The sequence below is a fragment of the Homo sapiens genome, chromosome 7 (assembly GCF_000001405.40).
Source record: "Homo sapiens chromosome 7, GRCh38.p14 Primary Assembly".
In the NCBI taxonomy this organism is placed as follows: Eukaryota; Metazoa; Chordata; class Mammalia; order Primates; family Hominidae; genus Homo; species Homo sapiens.
Genome location: NC_000007.14, coordinates 141,365,049 through 141,389,575, shown reverse-complemented (window position 1 = coordinate 141,389,575; position 24,527 = coordinate 141,365,049). Strand labels below are relative to the sequence as shown.

General features: G+C 42.5%; 1 protein-coding gene and 1 long non-coding RNA gene across 5 annotated transcripts in view; both read right to left on the bottom strand.

The window, feature by feature from the left end:
* Positions 1-24,527, bottom strand: part of TMEM178B (transmembrane protein 178B) — a 437,233-nt gene that overhangs the window by 121,721 nt on the left and 290,985 nt on the right. The window lies entirely within an intron of this gene.
* On the bottom strand, positions 20,333-22,441 carry LOC124901760 (uncharacterized). Its single transcript, XR_007060563.1, has 2 exons — positions 22,383-22,441; positions 20,333-20,785 (listed from the first exon to the last, which is right to left on the bottom strand). It is a non-coding gene; the product is annotated as an uncharacterized LOC124901760 (long non-coding RNA).

The following is a 24,527-nucleotide window of genomic DNA, read 5'->3' as shown; positions in this document are numbered from 1 at the left end:
ATCTTAAGATCATGGGAACATCGGGGCCTCCCACACCCATCAATCTTCCCAGCTGTAAGTGATAAACACATAATAGCTATCACTGCTCTTTCTTTTACTATACTATGTTGTGTACAGATGTACCTTCTTTCTTCCTTTAGGCTGTACAAATGGAAGTCTAGGCCTGGATATGACCCAGTTTCAAAACCAATCTACTAGACAGACCACTCCAGAGTCCAGAAGGGGCTGTCAGGAGAGCACATGTGACTTACTCATTGTGGCAAGCTGGTAATAGAGAACAGATACCCTTTCCCTTCTACGTTATCCATTATATGTAATTGACAGAGGAGAGCCCAGAATAGCTACGTGTTTTTTACTATGCATTCTGTACTTGTACCTCTTGAACCTAACGTGAGTAGTGGTATCTGGAAGAAGTGATGAATTTGCTGGCATGTTTCCGCTGGCTGGAGTTTAGGGTTTGGAGTTTGTTTCTGCCAGCTTAAAGAAACCCAAAAAGGCCCAGTTCCTAGATCCTGTAGATCAATAAGTGGTGACACTATACTAGACTCGGTTGGACTTTGGAACCTAGGAAAAGCTATTGAAACCTTACTGCTGCCAGGAGTAAGGTACCACAAGTGAGCTTTTGGACTGTCCCAGGATACTACTCATGCAGATGAGTTTGCCAAAGTGGTAACATTGCACCTTCCTTAATAAAAATTTCAGGAAGCTCCAGGTTATTTGATTTAACTCATTTTTGTTTGTTTATGTATGTAGATCTTTGGAAATGAGAGTAAGTCTTCTGACCCTATATAAATCAGCCCCAAACTGTGTATAAAACATCCAGCATCATGTAACTTCCAAATGGCAAAGGAGTTGAACATGTGAAAGCCAGTGCTCACCACTTATGTTGCAGTGATTGGTGGGAAAAAATTAATGCCAACCCGGAGTAGTTATTACTCTAGTACTTTTCAATTAGCTCTTTAACCATTTCTAGGATTAGGTTTTGGAGATCACAACCTGAGTCTTCTGACGGGCAGGAATGGGTGTGGAGGCTGAGGGAGGGGAGCAAAACAACCTCAGGAGGAAGAAAGAATTAATCTACTTTCTCATTGTTTAGAAGAATTCAGCATGAATCAATTAAAGTGACAAGAATATTTTTTACCTAGAGGAAAGTAGATCAATCTTTAGTGAGTTCACAGTGATATGCACAGCAAAACAGGCGGTATTATTAGAGACCGTCTTCTTTGAGTAGAAAGCGTGCACATGCTTTATCTCAGGCAGATGTCTCCATTCGAAGCCTGACTATTAGTGACATGAGTGGGGTGGTCCAGGGCGAGTTCTTACGGAGACCCTACGATGAGCCTGGCATTCTGGCAAGTCTGGAGGAGCCAAAGACACACCTGGGCTTCCTCCTCCTAACCTCCAGGAACTTTACAGCCACCTGATACCATGCTCAAGCTGAAATAATACTATTTGAGTAAAGAAAGCTGCTTCACTGACAGACATGTCGTATAATGTCATCTGCGGTCACAACCTCACACCCAGGAAGACACACACACCCCAGAATCTGCTGATGAAAGCTCAAAGGGTGTGCGGCTTGGCAGCCAGAGCAGGTGACAGCAGGTAAGTGGACGAAGGCAGGTTTCAGTGCAGGTGGGGAGAGAGTGAGGGAGTGGGCTGCCTGCGGGAAAGGGGGAGTGGCCGACAGGATGACCACCAAGGCGAGGAGGAATCTGCAGGAGTTCTGGGTTCTGTGACAGAAGAACAGAGCAAGAGTGGGTGGATGAGAGGCCCAGAAACAGAACAGTTGTGGGTGAGACATGTGGAGATGGAAGACAAGTGTCAGGCCACAGGGAAGCGCAGCAGGAGGTGGGCAGGTGGGCAGAGGGAGGCCACCCACCGGGTGACAGGAACGGGGGTGCGCAGATACGAGAAGGCTGAGCGCTTCCTCCTTTATTAAAAGGAGTCTGCTAAATATAGCTCCTCGCTATGAAAACCTCTTCAAAATCCTGATTGACTATGGCATTTAAAAAGACAGGAATGAGGGGGGATTTGTCTGCCCTGAAATCCATTTTAGATGGGGACAAAATGTTGTTTTGTAATTTACCTTATTAACTGGATATAAAATATGGATCTCTAGGAGCTCAGAAGAAGGGGTAGAATTTCTTCCTCTGACTATAATAAATTATGAGGCATTTAGGGGATGCCAAACTATCTTTTCTATGGTGATTGTCTCAGTTTCCCTATCTATAGAATAAAAATGCACCTGTATTATGGCGTTACTGTAAAAATAAAATGAGAAAGTGCATGTAAAGTGTTTAGCCTGATGTCTGACACATAGTACATGCTCAATAAAGCTATGTAGATATAATCTAAGCTCCTTCCAACTCTAATAGTCAAGATTCCATGAATTCTGTCAAAACTAGTCATATCTTCCTTCAAAGCAGGAAGACTGTGAATGCCCTGAGATTGCATGCAAATTTGAGATTTGGGAGAAATGCCTGCCTAGCTCATGATGACTTCCCCATTGCTAGGAATGGCCTCACCCTCCACCACTGGACCCTCATAAGCATCCCAACCTCCTGGAAGAGCCCACAGATTCTGACTCAAGCTAGAATAATTTGACTTCTTTCTTCCGGGATTTTGAAATTTGGGGCAGATATGGGCACTGGGGATTATTGAAGCTGAGTTACTGATAGTGCATCAGAAAGAGAACCCCCAAACCCCGGCTGCTGAGCCCCTGGAACTTCCTTGCCCTCATCCAGGTCACTTTTCTCTTATTCAATTTCATGAGCCACCCCAGGATCCTTCCCTTGATTAAATTAGCCAGAGTTGATCTCCACTGCGTGCAAACAAAGGACAGGCCGAAGATAACGCAGGTATATGCATAGTCGCAGTGTTTGGAAGAAGATCCACAGCTTTTGTAATAGTTTCAAAGTACTCATGACATCCCCCTAGAATGTTTAAAACCCGAGAATGTTCTCACCACAAAGAAATAATAAATGCCTGAGGTAATGGATACACTAAATATCTTGATTTGATCATTATACAACATGTATGTATCAAAACATCAAATTGTACCCCATAAATATGTGTAACTACACAGCGTGTCCAGAGAAAACAAACAAAAAACCAAGAATACAAGACCTTCATGTAAGGTAATAGGCAGCTCCATAGAAAGCAAAAGTAGCACTTCATTTCACTCAGTGGAAAGCAAAGTTCCTGAGAGCAGATTTTAATGCTTCTGACTTCTCCCATATTTCAGAGTCCAGGGAATACTGCCGAAGTTTCTGCAAGGTCCCCAAACAACCCTTTGTATAGAATGGCACCAGTGGAGGCATTCTACTACAAAGGGTCATCACCCAGGAGAGAAAGGAGCTGAAGGAGGAAACAGGGAGGACTAATTAAATCCATGACAACTCCGAGCCCAGAAGATGGGAGCAAAGCTTTCAAACCCCTTTGGCCCCTCAAAATCTCTGTTTTTTAGAGGCCACCTGCTCATAAGGCCCAAGATTTCTGGTCCTCTTGAGTTGATGAATGAATGCTGAGAAGTGCTGAAAGGTAGAGGAATATTGTAGCAAGTCCAGCGCTTCACAGAAAATCTGTCACCTTTGTGTGATTTAATGAGTTCAGAAAGAAGCCCCAGAAGAAGAGTCCAATCTCTCTGCAACACAACCAGGCCCAGGTGGGGCCAAACTAGCAGCTGGAATCATTTTTAAAGTTAGGGTGGTGTAGAGAGAAGAAGTTATCTTCTGTGTTGTCAGGGAATTGCTCTTCTTGCAGAAATAGAAGTGGACCCAAGGGACTGGTAACAGCTGTTCCTAGACTCACCTAGGCCAGGGATAATAAGACCAACAGGTGGTCCAGGAATAACAGGAAAGGTGCTAATGGTGCAAGTTGGATTTATGTCTTGAAACATGGCTGAGAATAAGCAGGATAAACAGGTAGAACTGGATAAAAAGGTTGCTGACTCCTTAACAAAAAGGATGATGGGAAACACTGTTTGCTAATATTTCGGTGAGCATTAATGATATGCGTTTGGAGCCTGGAGTTTTCCCCACTATTTGCTCTAGGTATGAATTACTTATAAATAGAGTTCACAGTTATATGTAATGTTTTCTGAATTTTTCAATGTACATTTTTATTTAAAAAGCCCAAATATCTGGGTTGTGTGGACTATCCCTGAGAATCCCCATCGTGCTTACAGAAAGACATTCTACCCGTGAGAATGCCCCTAGAGCAGACCATCTTATGGCAGGGCCATATTATGTATACACAGCCCAAGGGGACTGGTTCCCTGTTAACGGTTATTCTTTCAACATACTGTTTGATTTCAGAGATGGACACATTGCAGCTACTGAAGAGCTGCCATAATTAAGGACCATGAAACATCAGGAACAGTGTCATCAGATTTATCTGGAAAAATACGAAAAGTGGGAAAAGATTCTCTTTGTAGTAGAAAAAAATTGGGTGACCTAAAAGCCACATACATTTAAGTTTTGATGGTTAGTTGGAGCGAAGAATGTTTTGGGTTTCATTTTGAATTCAGGGGTACATAACAAATGTAGAAAGATGGTTTGGTTTATCTAAGAACAAAGAAATGTGGAAATAGAAATAGAAGAGTACTAGCACGCTCCATAAGAGAAGATGAGTAGATCAATTATGCATTATGGATTTCCACACTATATAGAATATCAAAATACTAGATCAGTGAGATCTCTAGAACTTGATCTGTAGAAAGCAAATCCCTGAGAACAGATTTCAATACAATATAGAAAGATGGGTAACTCTGCCAGTAAAGTGTCTCCTCCACATGTTGAAAATAAAAGCTACCAATGACTTTCTTCACAGATTTGGAAAAAAACTACTTTAAAGTTCATATGGAACCAAAAAAGAGCCCACATTGCCAAGTCAATCCTAAGCCAAAAGAACAAAGCTGGAGGCATCACGCTACCTGACTTCAAACTGTACTGCAAGGCTACAGTAACCAAAACAGCATGGTACTGGTACCAAAACAGAGATATAGACCAATGGAACAGAACAGAGCTCTCAGAAATAATACCACACATCTACAACCATCTGATCTTTGACAAACCTGACAAAAACAAGAAATGGGGAAAGGATTCCCTATTTAATAAATGGTGCTGGGAATGGCTAGCCATAGGTAGAAAGCTGAAACTGGATCCCTTCCTTACACCTTATACAAAAATTAATTCAAGATGGATTAAAGACTTAAATGTTAGACCTAAAACCATAAAAACCCTAGAAGAAAACCTAGGCAATACCATTCAGGACACAGGCGTGGGCAAGGACTTCATGTCTAAAACACCAAAAGCAATGGCAACAAAAGCCAAAATTGACAAATGGGATCTAATTAAACTAAAGAGCTTCTGCACAGCAAAAGAAACTACCATCAGAGTGAACAGGCAACCTACAAAATGGGAGAAAATTTTTGCAATCTACTCGTCTGACAAAGGGCTAATATCCGGAATCTACAAAGAACTCAAACAAATATACAGGAAAAAAACAAACAACCCCATCAAAAAGTGGGCGAAGGACATGAACAGACACTTCTCAAAAGAAGACATTTATGCAGCCAACAGACACATGAAGAAATGTTCATCATCACTGGCCATCAGAGAAATGCAAATCAAAACCACAATGAGATACCATCTCACACCAGTTAGAATGGCGATCATTAAAAAGTCAGGAAACAACAGGTGCTGGAGAGGATGTAGAGAAATAGGAACACTTTTACTCTGTTGATGGGTCTGTAAACTAGTTCAACCATTGTAGAAGACAGTGTGGTGATTCCTCAAGGATCTAGAACTAGAAATACCATTTGACCCACCATCTCATTACTGGGTATATACCCAAAGGATTATAAATCATGCTGCTATAAAGATACAAGCACACGTATGTTTATTGTGGCACTATTCACAATAGCAAAGACTTGGAACCAACCCAAATGTCCATCAATGATATACTGGATTAAGAAAATGTGGCACATATACACCATGGAATACTATGCAGCCACAAAAAAGGATGAGTTCATGTCCTTTGTAGGGACATGAATGAAGCTGGAAACCATCATTCTCAGCAAACTTTTGCAAGGACAAAAAACCGAACATTGCATGTTCTCACTCATAGGTGGGAACTGAATAATGAGAACACTTGGACACAGGAAGGGGAACATCACACACCGGGGCCTGTTGTGGGGTGGAGGGAGGGGGGAGGGATAGCATTAGGAGACACACCTAATGTAAATGACGAGTTAATGGGTGCAGCACACCAACATGGCACATGTATACATATGTAACAAACCTGCACGTTGTGCACATGTACCCTAGAACTTAAAGTATAATTTAAAAAAAAAAGAATTATCTTACTCTGTTTTCTTGTTTATTAAACAAGCTAGACTTTAAAAAAAAAGAAAGAAAGAAAGAAAGAAAATAAAAGCAATGCTAAAAGCAGCAATTCAATGCCAGTGTGAACTCACGCACTATCAAGGAAGTAAAGGTTGGGCTGCAGCCTCCTACCCTGGCCCAAAGCTTTGCCACAACTTGGGGCATAGCAATGAGTTTGCTTTTCAAGCTCCCAAATTTCCAAGGAGATTGGGGTGGGAGAATGGGGCAGTGATGATAAAGATATCTGAAAGGAAGGCAAGGAAGTTTCTGTGGATTCACACTGGTAAATGTTGCTGTGATTTCTACATTTGTTAAAAGACTCCAGAGATATAAAGGAACACCCCTTTGCTAAGGCATTACTTTGAGTTGTGTGCATTGTGAGGTTTGTTTGTGGGACTGAATCATTTAGCTAGTGACATACCCAACTCAACGTGTTACTGTTGTTTTCTCTTTGTCATTACATATATATTAATATTAACATGCATAAAGTGATTATTTTTTAAAATTGCCTTTCTTGTGAAATACAGTCCACTAAAGAAAGGCAGTGTTAATGCTGGTAATAGATGAGAAGAGGTCTTAGAAAATGGAGTTTTGTAATAAAGTAAAAGTAGAATATTAAATTTGGCAGCAGATCAGACACATGAAATGACAAGTTCACTTATATGGACTAGGAAAATTAGAAAACATAATTTATGAGTGTTTCAGTCAGTGCAGAAACTGTAATTTATGAGGGATCTTAAAATAACAAGCAATATTCACAAATTGGTGGATTCTCAAAGGTCCTGGGACCCATCCTTTAAAATCCCACAGACTCTCAGCTCTAGGAGAGGGCAGGCTTTGTCTAGCACTTCACAGATTCCTGTGCCTACAGTGATGCCTGGCACACAAGAGGTGGAGAGACAGCCAGCAGCCAAAAAACACAGTGCCTAATGATTCATAATGAGGAGTCTGGATATTGACCTAAGCGTAATAGGACATCTTTGGGCTTTTGTACACAGGGGACTGACACATGATTTCTGTTTTAAAAGGCCACCTTGGCTGCTATATGGAGAACAGATGATAGGAGGAGCATTGGCAGGAGGTAGAACAGTTCTCCCTATGGAGAATAATGGGCCAATGAGGGATCATACTTCGTTGAATGGGAGAGGAGAATCCAGCCCTGTTGGGGCAAGTTACATTTGAGATAAATATTAGACATTCTGTGAAGATCTCAGTTAGACATTAACTAGATAGCAGACGGTATCTGATCCTGGAGCTCAGAGAGTAGGGTTGAGATTGAAATCTGGCATGAACAAATGGATCTCTGAGGCCCACTCTCTGTATTAAAAATGGGGAACATTCTAGCCAAAACAAAATAGATGAGTGTAAATACATTCAGTGCCCCTCAGATAAAATAGAAAATGTACCATCCTTGTGGGCAAAAGGGGGGGATCTGAACTGTCATTGTCCTAAGACATAAAAGTCGCTCCTATCCTTGCCAACCAGCCCTAATTACACAAAACCTCAGAGAAGTAGTTAGGGCTTTTTAAAAATATAGGCAATGTTGGCTACTAAGGCCCTCAATTTTTTTTATTCACTTAAATATATTTGAGACTCCTTATGTCCTAATCAAATAAGGTTGGTGGGATATCTGGAAAGAATTAAGAGAAATAGGACTCGACTTTTGAAATAATGACATTTAGACAGAAGTATTTGGAGCTCAGGAAAGAAAAAGAAGAAATATAAAAAACAAACACTGCTTCTTCTAAGGAAGGACAAATTTCACACAACACTTAGTTCTCTGACAAACCAAGTGTGGCACAGGAATATCAAATGGAAATTACTTCTTCTACTACTACAGGGAAAGAGTCTACATCTTTATTATGAATAAAAAACTAGAATTATCTGTTACTTGGCTTAAGGATCTACAAGAATTTAAGAGATGTGAGCAAGGCCATGAGAGGAGAATTGGAAGAAGCTATTGCTTATTAACTACAAGACTTTGATACAGGTGGGGGGTTTCACATCACTGAATTCCATGTAAAGATTACAGTCACATCGATGCTACATTTGCCCCAACTTCAAGGACTGGGAACTCTTCCATTTGTCTCACCTCACTCCTCTGCAGTATTATGAGACAGTGAAGTGTGCATACAAAATATGCTGTGTAGGCAGGTAAGATGTGAATTGTGTTGTGGTTATGGGGTGGGTACGGGGAGACAGTGATGGATCTGTTATCAGGTACTCAGCAGCCACCATGTTAGCCTCTGTAATCCCCAGTTAGGTCTGCTTTCTTCTAGATGTATATTTGAATCTGAAATTTCCTAACAGACTGAGAGGTATAGCCTTCTTTCCCTGCCTCTAAAATGCAGAGATTAGCATGCTGAGACTACTTCACATCCATGCCATGATCAGCTGAAAAGATCTACTACTATAGCTGAGAATGACTGTAACCTATATGAATAATTATCTCAAGGATCAGAATGATAAATGCATTCAATCAATATTTGCTTATAGGAAGGCACAGAATACTCCCCAAAACAAACACATACACACATATAAATAACAACAACAATAAGCAGTTGGATTTCCACTATTAAAAAGGACATAGAATTCTTTTTTCCCCAAGTTTAATCAAACTACTGGACCTATACATAGCACAAAATAATCCTGGTAGTAAACAACATATTCTACTTGAGCAAGACACTTAGGAAAATGTATATTCCAGTTAGGAAGGCAAAAACACTAAAAACCTAAAAACTTTTGGAATGAAAGTCATCAAGTTTAGATATTGCAAAGAAGGGGTATGGGATATCATTTTCTAAAGCTGCAGAAAGTTTTTTACAATTGAATATAAGAAACATAGAGTCTCCTATTCAATTAGGAAGGTCTTCACAAAAATAACAGAATATGACTTAAAGATTAGATTTTGTGCACAGTGAACAAATGCTGACATAACTGACTTTCTTGCTGTCCCTCACTAAGAGCTATAGAACTACAATCAGTTCTAGGCTAGTGAAGTAGTCAGCACCAATGTGTGGGGACTTTAATCAAGTATTCCCCAAAATACACATCTAGACCTCAACATTTTGTCGCTGAAATATGCATTTTTAAAATTCGACTAAATTTGTTTTTAGATTTATATTTATGGGTAGAGGGTGGTGAGCTAAGCAACTTCTTAGTCTACATCTAGAGTAGTAAGAAAAGATGGACAGAAAAAGCCATTCAATGTAAAATTCTGTAAATTTACATTCATTTCCAAAGCCTCTAAAGGTAAAAGGATTTTCTGGTAGAATTGTAATATACTTGAGACATCCCCCAATTTGAGGAAAATCTCCTAAGAACTGTTTAGTGTTAGCCTGAACCAGAAGCCTTCACTTCTCACATTATAATACTCATAATGAAGAAAGGAAGAAAGGGAGAAAGAGAGAGAAGGAAGGTGGATGAGAGAGATGGAAGGAAAACGGATATAAGGTACCATATGAATCTATGAAGCTCTGTGTCCATGGAGAAGACCCCATCTAAATATCATGAAAGGATTCTCATGCCACAGAAAACTGAATGGCACAGCACACAGCCCTCTATTGGGCAAAGTTGCGGGAAACCAGCAAGGCCTAGGATTAAAAATAATAACAAACCAAGTTGTTTTGAAGATAATGTGACTGCTTTGGTTTTGCTTCTCATGAACCTGCTGAGGGGCACTCTAGACATTTTATTTTATTATTTTAGACAGGGATTTACTCTGTCACCCAGGATGGAATGTAATGGCATGATCATGGCTCACTGCGGCTTCGGCCTCCTGAGCTCCAGCAATCCTCCTGACTCAGCCTTCCGAGTAGCTGAGACTACAGGTGCATGCTGCCATGCCCAGCCAACTTTTTACATTTTAATTTTTTTTTTTTTTTTAGAAAAACAGGGGTCTCACTATGATGACCAGGCTGGTCTTGAACTCCTGGGGTTAAGTGATTCTCCCACCTTGATCTCCCAAAGTGCTAGGATTACAGGCATGAGCCATTGTGCCCAGCCTACAGTCTGGCCATTTTAGAAGGCTCCAGAACACTCTGTTAACTGGCAGTCCAACAGAGCTTATGGACTATATGGCCTGTCTGAGCAGAGACTGGAGAGAGACTAGGATGCCCCTGCATGGCTCTCCAAATCCGGAGTGGCTCCTTTTGCTCTGTGCTTCCCCCAAGCAGAGGATGTTTCTGAGGCCCCTTGGTGCCCCTGTTGTGCACCGTGAAACAGACTGCTGTTATGTCACATAACTTGCACATCTAGGGTGCCCCCAAGGGCAATTCTGAAATGTTTCGTGGCTAGTGGCAGCATATCCCATTTCCCAGAGTGGGAAGGGATGTCCAACAGGGAAGAGAAGTTGGCTGGCAGTTTTCTTTCACTCTCGCTACCATCCTTTCCTTTTTCTTGCAGTTTCTTCTTCAGTAGCAATGAAAGCTCTGTGGAAATAAAAAATAGCCCCTCTAAGGGAGGACTACCTCTTGAATAAAGTGAAATGCATGCTTTTCTAATTTAGCCTGGAACAGATCTGCAGGTTGGCAAAGGTCAGTATGTAGCTGTAGAGGCTAAACAAGGACTCTGGGCTTTATGCCCCAGGTACCACCTTCGCTTAGGAGCCTCTCCCTCAGTACCATCTCCGGCAATGCCACCACCCTAGTGTGTGCTGTTAACCAGGCAATGCCTCTTTCAAAAGTAGCCAAAAATTAACTCCTCTTAGCTCAGCTAAAATTAATGAGTGCTCTGGTTTTGGGTGGGGGCAGTGGGGGAGGGTTCAGAAAAAAACCATATGGGCTGAACTCAGTGACTCATTTCCAGAGAATAAAGTATGGAAAGGGAAAAATAGTAACTTCAAAAAATAGTCACTAGAAAAGTAGTGGAGGGGTCTGGAAGACACTACCTTAACCAGGTGATCAAGGCTAACTTCACCAGCAATAAGTCATGTCGATATCATATAATGCAAGAAGAGCACTTGACCTCCATGGTATGACTCACAAAGCCTGTAACCCCGGTCTAACTATGAGAAAAACATCAGACAAATTTAAAATGAGGGACGTTCTACAACATACCAGAGCAGTATTCTTCAAAACTGTCAAGGTCATGAAAAATAAGGAAAGGCTGAAAAACTGGCACCAACCAGAGGAGACAAAGGAGACACGATGACTAAATGCAGTGTGGCTTTGTGGAACAGAAAAGGGACATTAGTGGGAAAAGGGATGAAATCTGAATAAAGTTGAGAGTTCAATTAATAATAATGTACCAATGGTAATTTCTTAGTTTGACAAATGTATTGTAGTTATATAATATGTTAACAGTAAGGGAAATGGAGTGAAAGATACACAGGAACTCTCTGTACTTTCTTTGCAACTTTTCTGTAAATCTAAAATAACTCCCAAATAAAAATTTATTTAAAAAGTACTCAACTTCCAAAAGAACCAGTAGATCATCATATAAAATGAAATCTTAATTTATTTTTGATATGTTTTATTTATAGTGATTTCTTTCTTTTTTTCCCTTTTTTCTTTTTTTAAGATGGAGTTTCACTCTTTGTTGCCCAGGCTGGAATGCAGTGATGCAATCTTGGCTCACTGCAACTTCCACCTCCTGGGTTCCAGTGATTCTCCTGTCTTAGCCTCTTGAGTAGCCGTGATTACAGGTGTCCACTGCCACGCCTAGCTAATTTTTTGTATTTTTAGTAGAAACAGGGTTTCACCATGTTGGCCAGGCTGGTCACGAAGTGATTTCTTAAAATAGAAGCAGGGAGGCCGAGGCAGGCAGATCACCTGACATCAGGAGTTCAAGATCAGCCGGCCAACGTGGTGAAACCCCGTCCCTGCTAAAAATACAAAAATTAGCTGGGCGTGGTGGTAAGCGCCTGTAATCCCAGCTGCTAGGGAGGCTGAGACAGAAGAATCACTTGAACCCGGGAGGCGGAGGTTGCAGTGAGCCGAGATAGCTCCATTGCACTCCAGCCTGGGTGACAAGAGCGAAACTCCATCTCAAATAAATAAATAAATAAATAAATAAATAAATAAATAAATACAGAAGTAGCCCCCATGGATTACAGAAAATTACAAAATATAGACAAGTAAAAATTAAAAATCAAAGCAAACTATCACATTTCTACTACCTGGAAATCAGCTGTTACAATCTTAGGGCATATTTTCTTTTTGGCTCTTTTCCTAATATATGTGTACATATATATTTGTCAATATGAGACCTTAGGTTGCACACTATCCTACAGCAATTTTTTCCAGTCAATGATTTCTTCTTTTCCATTTTAGTACATTTTCACATCATCTAATACTTTTATCATATTCAAATTTCTCTCCAATTTAATCTAATCAAGGATGATTTTATTTGATTGTCATGTCCTTTAAAATATTTTCAAATCTAGCAAGTCCTCCCCATTGACCCTGATTTGTGAAAACACCAAGCCAGTAGTCCTGCAGAATGTCTCAGCTTCTAGCAGGTTGGTGCAAAAGTAATGGTGGTTTGTGCCATTAAAATATCAAGAACGCCATTACTTTTGCTCCAACCTATTGGATTTGTGTGATTGCTTCTTCGTGGTGATGCTGAGCTTGTTTCTCTATCCCCTGTATTCCCTGACACTGAAATATCTATCTAAAATTTTGATGGATTAATGTTAAACATGTTTGTCAAGAAGACATCGATGGTGTTCTGCAGTTGTATTTAATTAGATCAAAGACATATAACATCAGGCTGTTACATCATTAGCGATGTTATGGTTACTGGATTACAGTGATATCAGTCTCTTTCCTATATTAGAGTTATGTTTTCCTCTTTAGACCAGAAAGTAACCTGTGTAGTTGGTATAATTTTTGGTAATATAACAAATGTTTATTTCCCAAGTAGGTACATACCCAGTGATTTTCCTGCCAGTTAATAATACTTGCCTAAACCAATAATTCCGTTGAGATTGGCAAAACTATTTTTTAAATTCTTCTTCTTATTATTAGCTGGCTTTCTTCTGTAAAGTAGAACATTCCCTCATCAACAGGGACTATTTGGTTACCCTTAAATATAGTTCCTTACAGAAAGGACAGGAAGTCTGGCTGAAGCATTTAAAAGACTTGCTAAGCATTAAGGAAGATCAAAAGGGAGACAAATGCTGAAGGCATTACAAATATAAAATAGAAACTTGCTTCGGCTTACAAAGATTAAGATAGGTCCCCAAAGGACTGGCACAACTTAGGGTCATCTTGCCTTAGTCCCCAGGTTGCCAGCTCTGGGGCTACTTCCCCGTTGGTCCCATATGAACTCCTGCAGGCCGATGGCCAAGAGGCCTGTCTCCTTCTGTTGTTCACCCAAGGCTTGCCCTCTCTGTTTCTATTTTATGTCTAAGAGGCTGGCCTTTTCCCCAAAAATGATCTCCCCTTGTAAGTGAGCCTCCCTACCTCCTAATTAATACAGCAGTGTATTAAATTCTTACAGACCCACAACATGACCAATTCTAAATACACCACAATAACCATGGCTTCCTAAATATAATTTAATAACCGTAGCCTCCAATAACCCAGAATTATACAGAGTAACAGGGGGCTCATTTCTTCATGGCTTCCTTAACAGAAAATGGTGGAAGAACCCCTGGAGTCAAATACTTTCCCCTGGAACACAACGATTACCTACTACTATAATAAGAAACAGGATGTAATGCAGTTTGCTTCTAACACAGATGTTAGTCCTGTCTGCTAAAATCAGCATCATAAAAGGTTTCTACTATATTTGTAACTCTCTGTCTTTTTCATTTAAAAATAAGGGTCTGACTTTGACAATCTCTACGCAGGTGCAGTCAAGATGGATGCAATGGAAGGACTCACTTTTTGCAATTCACATGGCATATCACAATGACCCTGAAATGATGGGGACAGTATCTTCAGGCTGCAAGCAGTTTCAAACATGGACCACACTGAAACCTTTCCATTGTGTCAGAGTCCATCAAGTTTATATAATCATAGGCATAATTTACTCCTAATTATTAAAATCACAGAAAGATGGAACAACATTTAAGTGTTTTAAAGGAGCAAATGAAAGCAAATGGTCATGACCATCATCCGGTAAATCAAGTGAGAGGATGAACTGTTCTTCAAATCTGCAAAATCTTGAAGGGAAAGTATCTGTCAGTATCCAAGGATACATTAAATTACGAACAAGAAACAGCATAGAAACAGGAAGACAAACTCTCAAATCCCAGCCATGGGACATGGGGACATATATCTTAAGACAACTACAAAATGAATACTGAAGAGGATGCAGAAGGTGTCGTGTGCCCTGGGATTTTGTAAATGCAGTTGGTATACTGCTTCATTACCTTTGGCACACATGGAGCCTTAGGAAGGCAAGGTCTCCAGTAATGATCTCATCTATCAGATTAAATTTTCACAAATTTAGTTCAAATACCAAAGATGAATCTATAGTCGCACAGAGAAAATTGCCTACAAAAGTAAACACCGGAGTAAAATCAAGTGACAAGTTGCAGGTTTGAGAAAGGAAGTCCCATGAATGCTTAAGTAATTGTCACATGGGGTGGCATGTGCGAGAGCACTCGGGAAGAGGCGGTTTCGCAGATGGAAGAGACTCTGACGCTGTATGCGCGTGGGGTTTTTAAGCTGTGCTACTGGGCTCATTCTCACTCCAAGTCTACCTCTAGGCCAGCTCTCTCCCCTGAACAATCACTTGTTCTCACCCACCTGTGTATGCTTCTCTCCACTCCAATGCACACAATGAAGAAGAGGTGGGAGAAGGTTGTATGCACAAGAGTGTGAGTGTTGTCTATGCTGCGTATCTGTGTGTGTGTGTGTGCATGTGTGTGTGCCTAAATAAGTATTGTTTTAAAGAGTGGTTAGCCAAATAGGGCATCTGGCACTATGGAGCACCAGGAAATCATCTAAGAGATGTCACAGTCTCTCCCATTAGAGCCACAGACACACCTGCTGGTGGAATCCCGTTTAAATGCTGATTTCAAATCAAGAAGCTTGTATGAAGCCCCACCTCAGTACCACAAGGCTATGAAGAAGGAGCTGCTCCTGGGCGTTTACAGTCCCGGACTTCACATCAGAAACACGCTTACCTTGGTGACCCAGCTCAGGGCTTCCCATGTCATCAGCTACAGGGTGGATCTAAGCTTTCTCTTCATAGCCACTCTTTAAGGAATAAATGGAAGGAGGGGAGGGCCTATTGAAAATCATGGCCATTTCCTTGTCTGTTAAAGTCCATCCCCCAGAGTTGGATTTCATGCCTAACTAAATGTTTGCCCATGTGAGGAATTTGGGGGCATAGTTGTGAGTCCTCTTTCACAAAATTTAGGTTCACATTTTGACTCCTGAGCAGAGGTTTAAATATTTTCAATTCCCTGCCTCTGGACCAGCCTGTAGTGAATACTGTGGTGTGCTGCCCAGCTCACCCTTCAGAACCAAGCCCTCCCTCACCCAGCTATGGGCAATGTTGGCTGCTGTAGGCTCAGTGGAGGCTGCCTCACCCAAGGGAATGCCCCTTCCCCGGGAGCAGCCTGCCCAATGTGTGTTGGGGGGGTGGAGGGTGGCCGTATTAGGCCTGATCCCCTTGTCTCAACTGGGACTTCTTAGAAGGCCACCCAAGCTCTAGAGCACCTCATAAGTTGGCAAAGGCCTTGGCTGCAACTGCATGGTAGTTCACCCTCCCACTCTGAGCAGTCCTGCTTCCTTCACTCCTTCCAGGCATCGTTCCCAAGAGCATCCCCTGAGAAGCCCCCTGCATTCAAATCTCAGTCTCGTAGTGTATTTCCCAGGGAAACCCAACCTTCTGCAAGTACACTTCCAACTGTGGCTCCATACTGGTCCTCAGGATTTGTTGTTGTTGTTGTTTGCTGTTGTTGTTGTTTATTTGGGTCCGAGGATCACATCTCATAGACTTCATCTCATCTGTAACCTTTCTCTCACCATTTGCTCTGGCCTCTGCCTATTCTCAGAGCTTGCACCACAGCAACAAGAATACCAGAGTTCCTGTTTCCAGAGCACTTCCAATATGCTGTGAACTGCAAGAGGTATTTCATATGCAAGATCTCATTTCATCATTGAAGTCCTGAGGGGAAGGCCCAATTAACTCTATTTTTATATAAAGTGACCAAGGTTCAGAGAGATTAAATAATTTGCCCAAAGTCACACAGCTACTAAGTGTCTGAGCCAGCGGTGGACTCCAGGCTGTCTTGACACTAAAACCAATACTCTTAATCACTAAGCCATTTCCCTCTCCTTTTTTCCATCCCTTTTAGTTTTCATCACCCCACCCCATTCCTCATCACCGCTGCCTCCAGTCTTCTCACAAGCCTGGACGGCTCAGATGTGTGGAAGTCATCTAATCATTTGGGTTCCAAGTCTGGCTCTAATAGTAACTCTAATCACCAAGTTCTTATATTTACGGAAGACATCCTCAGAACTACACATAGTTTTCAAAGCAGTTCTCTGCATTTTCAAAGCAGTTCTCTGAGGTTTTGCTCATAATTTTAAAATAATTAAACTGACATTCTATATGGGAACATAGACACTTCCAGCAACTTCTCTTGTGTCCCTTATAAAACCCATATAGATGAGGAGGGAGGTTCTATGTGATTGTCCCCTGGGGTTGCAGAAGAAATGGACTCTGATCAGAGAGGCAATGGGCTTTGGGAACCTAGAATGTAAGCAGATATATGCATTTTATAATGTAACTGCTGCATGGAAGGCAGTCCCACTGAGAAGGTAACATTTGAGTAAAGACCTGAAGGAGGTGAAGGGTGACTCACAGGGTAATCTGCAGGGAGGGAACTGCCTATGCCAAGGTCCTGAGCAAGAGCGCACCTGGCCTGCATGATGAACAGCCTGGAGATCTGTGTGTCCCGAGCAGAGACAGCGAGGAGAGGATGGTGGATAATGAGATGCAGCTGTAGGTCACCAAGAGAAGGGAATGATCCATTCTGTCCAATGATGCTAATAGGTCAAGTGAGGGGAGGACTGAGGACTGGCTGCTGGATTAGCAATGTGGAAGTCATTGGTGACTTGGCCAAGGGTAGATTTTGTGAGGGAGTGGTGAGAGTCAGACTAGAGTGACTTTAAGAGGGAAACGAAGTAGAGCAACTGGTACCAGTGAGGAGAAGGCAACTCTCTGTAAAGCTTTGCTGAAAAAAGGAGAAAGGATGTGGGGGATTAGCTGGCAGGAAACATGGGTCCAAGTGAAGACTGTTATTTAAGAAGTGAAAAATAACAGATAATTGTACACTTCTGAGATTGACCCAATGGAGAAAAGGAAATAAAGAAGATGAGAAGTGGAGCACTGGTAGAGCAATGTCTTTAGTAGTTAAGAAGAGATGGGATCTAGCTAGGAGCAGAGGGACTGGCTTTAGCAGGGAGGAGAAGGGGAGGAGAGGTTGTGTAGGTGGACAGATGGGCTGAGTGGCCTTAGCCAGTGGCCACTTGGTATCCTGGCCCTAGTGGTAAGTCTACCTCTAATGCAGAGAGGTATGCTGGGGGTCACAGCCTTCAGACCTTTAGTGTTCTGGTGTCATGCATTCTGTTCTCACAGAAGAGATAAGAGGTAGCTGAGAGATCAACATATCTAGTTTGTTTCAGCCTAGTGCCATTAAATCCCTTTTCCTTCTTCCTTCTAGCCCCACTTATTCCGTATCTACAGTGTCTTAGTCTGTTTTGTGTTGCTACAAGAGAATACTTGAGGCAGGTAATTTTTTAAGAAAAGAGGTTTGTTTGGCTTCTGGTTCTGCAGGTTGTATAAGAAGCACGGCACTGGTGTCTGCGTCAGGTGAGGGCCTCAGGCTGCTTCCACTATGGCAGAAGGTGAAGGGAAGCCAGGGTGTGCAGATCATTTGACAAAAGAGGAAGAAAGAGAGGTGGGGAGGTATCAGGCTTTTTTTTTTACCAACCAGCTCTAGAGGGAACTAATAGAGTGAGAACTCACTTACCCCCAAGGAAGGGCATTAGTCTATTCATGAGCAATCCAGCCCATAATGCGAGCACCTCCCATTAGGCTCATCTCTAATATTGGGGACCAAATTTCAACATGAGGTTTGGAAGGGACAAAGATCCAACCTGTAGTACACAGTAACTTCTGTTGCTTATAATTCAGCTTTGCTCATAGATCTGCCTACATGGGAGAAAACAAGAGCTGGTCACATAAGCTAATGAATATTTCCACCCATGTGCCCATTCATCTGTCAGTGCGAGTACACAGTACAGTGTTCTGGTTTTCTACATTCATCCCCTGAACCTGGTAACCGTGCATCCTCTCAGAAAAGAGAGATCCATATTCAGAATGCAGACAACATCGGGCTTCTGAGCCGCATGACTGAGAGTCTTGATCAGTGGTCAAACAGCAGATGTCCTTGCCTAGGTGGAGACCAATGTGCATATCCTCTGCATTTGCCATGTGCAAAGAGGAACGCTGTGTTTCTTCTAATCCTTAGGAGCAATTACACAAACTCTAAGGGGTCACCCTGGCAGAAATGATCCTACTAAATATTGGCAAATGTCACAGAGCCAGAATCTGCAATGCTTTGCAAGTCCTGTCCAAATCTCTTTCTTCCTCCAAGACTTAGCACAAATCCTTGTCTTCCAGGAAATCCTACTTAACTATATCAGTCTAAACTAGCTCCTCCTTCTGAGCACCAATAAAAGTCCCTGTCTATTATCCGTACAAGAACACTTTATCACACGTTGTTTTACCCAACGTGTTGCATATATTAGTCTCTTTTGCTGGATTAAAAGCTCTTTGAAGGCAGATACCATGTCTTATGCACTTTGCACATTGCAAAGCTCAGCAATGTTCCAGGGTGGTTCATCTGGAAGAGTAGCTCAGCCCAGCCCTGTCCCTCTTGCCAAGGTGTTCCTCAGCTGCCAAAATGCACCTCACTCCCTGAATTGCTGGTCAGTTAAAACCGCAGATCCTCACTGCCTTCTCCTGGGTCTCTTCACCACCATTCTTAATATCCTGAAACTGGGCCTTCTGTCTTAATAATCTCTCTGCAACGTTCCATTCCTTTTCTCTCTGCTGCCACCCCTGCTATGACTTCTCCCTCTCTGTGGTCCAGTCACACACACTTGGGGGGTTCCTCCCGGTTCCACTGGAGCCAGGACCCTCCTACCTGGGGCAGGCCCCCCTTGCCTCAGGCCTGTGAGTTCAAAACCTACATGGAACCCATTGTTATTTGGGAGGACTAAGGACTAGGTTGGCCTTGTACTGAGAAAAAGAGAAACAAAATAAGCAGCAATTTTTTCCTTGTTGTTGCTTTTATATTGTTCTCTTTATTTGTTTCTCTCCAAGCTGTTTGATTCTATGGGCCTTTTCAAGCAATAGAATATTTCCCCACTTGCCAGGCATATTTCCATTTTATGGCTTATTTAAAAGTTGTGTTGAAAAAGTCATTGTGGCTATAAGGTAGGAAGTAATCCCGGCTCCAGGGGACAGAAGGAATGACCCACTGGGATTCTGCCATGTCTGTTCCCAAGAGTGAAAGTGGCAGAATGTATTTGTCTGAAGTGAACTTCTGTAAACCTGGGCTCACAGCCAGTCTGCAGAGAGCAAGCTCCATTAGGAACGCGGGGTGGAGGTGCTTCCCTGCTCGGCATTCTTGCTCAGGGAAAAAGCAAAACACCTTCCTTTGAATTTTCCACTTTGCTCAGACATACAAACAAGGAAGCACACAGGAGGCCAGCCATTTTAAACAGCTGGAGAAGCCCAGAAACCCTGCAAGGAGTTGCTGCTTTGAGAGAAAGGCAGAGCCAAAGAGATCAACAGAATTTTACCTTCTCTATGGTGATATTTATTTTCTTTCTCCTCTACATAAACACACACACATACACACACACACACACACACACACACACACACACACACACACGTCGGCGCGGAGAGACAGAGAGAAAGAGAGATGAGACTGGAAAAGAATAATAATGAGAGGAAATTATACTAGGTAGTATCACTTAAGAAACTACATCTTTATTAATTCAACAAATACAAACAAATACTGAATATTTGTACCTTATGGGGAATGGGTGGGTCCACTGGGGAAAGAAATACCAGAGGAACAGTTGAGAAGCCCAGTTGAGGCTGAAGGGATGTTTACTTCTTTCCATGGCTTGCAAACCTCTTCTACTGACAAGTCTACTGGGAAAGGGGGGTGAGCAAGAGCCCCATACTTTGTTCTTAGAGTGGGCCCCATCTACAGGAGGGGCCCACGGCCCACATGTCAGTCTTTCCCACCAAGTCAAACACTCACTAACAACCCCTTCCTTGAGAATTTTTCTTTGTTCAGACTCAGATGTAAGGGAGCAAAGCAGGAGCGGCATGGTCCTCTAGTGAGAGACCCAGTTGAAGAGACAACCACACAGAGGGGATCCGGGAATGTTTTCATACCATTGGAAATTCTGAAGTAAAAAAGGAATTTTTCAGCAATCTAACAATATGTATCAAGAGCCTCACCTATATGCCTCTTTTACTTCCAGGATTTCTATGATAACCAGATATGCATCAACATTTATCCACAATAATGTTCAGTGCACAGATCCATCGGGAAAAATCAACACAAAAGAAATGTACACACTGAGCATGGATAAGAAGCCCCCTGTAGTAGAATTGTATTCAGTCTTTATGTTTCATATTCTTGAAGTACTTTTAACAGTGCAAAATTTTTGTGATATAATGTTACATTAAAAAATGGAATCCCAAGTATATAGGCATAGAACCTGTTCATGTAAAAATCCAATGAGGTGTACACTTATGATAAATACACTTTATGCACTTTATACCTTACAGCTCAGAGAAGTTTAAAACATGCAAAATAGTATGATATCAGTTCAGAAGAGTGACTAGCAGGGTTTCAGATCATTTTTCCTTTTTGAAGCAGAGTCTCACTCTATCGCCCAGGCTGGAGTGCAGTGGCACAATCTTGGCTCACTGCAACCTCCACCCCCCAGGTTCAAGCAATTCTCCCACCTCAGCCTCCTGAGTAGCTGAGATTACAGGCACACACTACCATGCCCTGCTGATTTTTGTATTGTTAGTGCAGATGGGGTTTCACCATGTTGGCCAGGCTGGTCTTGAACTCCTGACCTTAAGTGATCTGCCCACTTTGGCCTCCCAAAGTGCTGGGATTACAGGCGTGAGCTACTGTGCCTGGCCCCTTTTTGTATTTTTCAACATGTGCCTGCTCTTCCAGAATAAGCATGGCCTCTGCCTCCTTCTCTTGGGTCTTGGGCCTTTCAGCCTTTATGCTCTCCAGCTCCCAAGTCCTGTCTTCAGAGCTTCAGACGCTCCAAGGTCGACCTGCTCTAAAGGTCTTTGCATTCGTGCTTTCCTCTGCTTGGAACCCCATCCTCTCCACCTTCCCTTGGTTAACCACCTCTCAGCTCTCAGCTCAAGGTCCCTGTCCCATAGGAAACCCCTCAGTCTCCTCCCTCTGCTTCCCAAGAGAGGAGGTCGGGTTATACTCCACAGTGTTCAGCATAGCCTGAAATTATACCTTGTTTCTATAATTATTTGTGTATTGACCAATAAGATCTTGCAGTTTTAAGAAAATGTTTTATCTCACATTATACTCCCAGGACCCAGCATCATGCCTGGGTCCTAACAGGAGCTCAAAGGGTAATTGTCAGCTGGGCGCAGTGGCTTATGCCAGCACTTTGGGAGGCCAAGGCAGGCAGATCACATGAGGTCTGGAGTTCCAGACCAGCCTGGCTAACAGGGCGAAACCCCATCTCTACTAAAAATACAAAAATTAGCCAGGTGTAGTGGCACATGCCTGTAATCCCAGGTACTCAAGAGGCTGAGGCACAAGAATCGCTTGAGCTTGAACCCAGGAGGCAGAGGTTACAGTGAATCGAGATCATGTCACTGCACTCAAGCCTGGGTAACAGAATGAGATTTAGTCTCAAAAGAAAAAAAAAAAAGGTAATTGCTGAACCAGTGAATGGAGTACCTTCCCACCCTGTTATCAAATAATTGGTTTGTAAAAGAAATTCCTACCTTTCGAGAAGGACAGAAAGAGTCCCTTCCTCCCTCTGCTGGTCCACTGGGCTGGTGCTGTCTTCACAGGCCCTGGCCACCCACCCCTGCCCCCCCCACCCCTCCCCCCTGCTGTCATGTGGCTCCCCCTGAATGGCAGCAGCACAATCCCTCAACAAACAACGGAGGGACATAAATAAGCAGCTGTCCATCAAGGAGCAGCTCCACCACCCAGACCCTCCACATTCAATTTAGCATCAGCAGTCTCCTTTAGGGAGCCAGGAGATTGAATAGTTTTCAGGTCCATAAAACAGATTATAAACTGTCACAGAAGAGTTGCAGGGTATACTGTGGGCCGGAGAGCCTGAGCAGCCCCTAGAATGAAATTAACCAGAGGTTAGCCAAGGAGCCCATCCAAATCGGATGAAGGAAAGGACGTGAGTGGGAGAGGGGAGGGACATCTACATTCTGGAAAGGAAGCAGAAGTGAAGAAGAAAAGCAGAAGGAAAATGGGGCAGAAAAGTAGAGAGGGAAATGGCCGTTAAAGAAAAGTTATAGAAAACTAAACAAAATGGCCCCATAAAGAGGATAAGAAGAAATCCAAAGACAGACAAGAAAGGGCAGCTGGGAAGACAAAGAGGTCGAAATGCCAAGAATGCAAAGAAGCCCCTCCCCAAAGCAAATGATCCCTGAGCACATACAGACCAGACATGCACGTTTTTAAACCTTCAGAAACAAAGAGGCCTTAAACACAAGGAAATGTATCCTTTGGTCTAACAGGCAACCAAGTCAGGGAGTCAGCATGGATTTGAAAAGCAAAATTCCTTGAAACAAATTTGTCGTGACCCTTGCATAGCGTTTATTTTCTTTGGGAGGGAAAACAAAACATTCATTTCCCTTTCGAGCCAGAAGTCACAGACATGCTTTCAGGAGAGGGAGTGGTCAGGAGAGGAAAAATGAGAAGTGTGTCAAAGGATCCCATCAGCAGGCTCTTTGGTCTCCAGGGATCCAGTAAACAGGTTATTAATAATAAATGCTACAAGCTTTTATTTTTATGATAGCTCCAAAGGAACGCACATGCTCAGCAGTCATCATCTCTGACCTTACCACATCCCTTCCAGGGTGAGAACAAGCACTAATACAGCCATAAAGGCGCTCTATGCTTTATAGAAACGTTTCTCCCAACATTATTGCATTTGATCTGCTCCAAGAGATGGGAGAGGCAGACAAAAGATGGAAGTGACATTCTGAGGGTTAAACGACTTGCCTGAGATCACTGTTGCAGGGTGAATTGTATCCCCAAAAAAGATACACTGAAGTCCTAATTCCTAGAACCTGTGACGGTGACCTTATTTGGAAAGAGGTAATTAGGATGTCAGGTAATTTTTGTAGAGGTAATTAGGATGTCAGGTAAGACGAGGTCATACTAGAGTTGTGTAGGCCCTTAATCCAATATGACTGGTATCTTTATAAGAAGACAAGAGACACAGACAGACACCTGCAGACAGAATGTCATGTGAAGACACGGGCACACAGTGAGCAGACAGCCATGTGATGGAAGAAAGGCAGAGATTGGAGATATGCTGTAAGCCAGGCCAGTCCATTTATCTTCCACTGAAAACAGAAACTTATGGTGACATTGATTTAGCTCTGTGTCAAGATCTTTACATACATTTCCTCTAGTCCTGAGAACATCCCTACAATCCCCATTTTATAGACAGGAGAACTGAGGCTCAGAGGGGTGAAGGAGATGGGCCCCAATTCATACAGGTCCTAAGCACCCGGCATATGAATTAAAACAGGCTCAATCCCAAAGCTGGTGGCCACCATCTCACAGCACACTGCGAGGGCATCAAGTCAGAAGCGTCCCCTGGAGGGCTTCAAGCTTGTCTGCCTCATTTTACAGATGTCCTCTATCTTTGCCAAGGTCACACTCCAATTTAGTTTCTAATTGACATCATAAGGGTCAGTTTGAACCCAGAACGTCTACAGCAAGGGTTTGAAGACAGCAATGTGGTTGGAAAGAGGGAGCATTCTCAAAGCTGCATTTACCCAGTGTTTTACATAAGGCTAAGAAAATGCCAAGTGTCCATGTTAAAGAAATGAGGAGATGGGGTTTCTGAGACGGGCCTACAGGCCCCCCAAGTCAGTCTTTGCCACTATCAC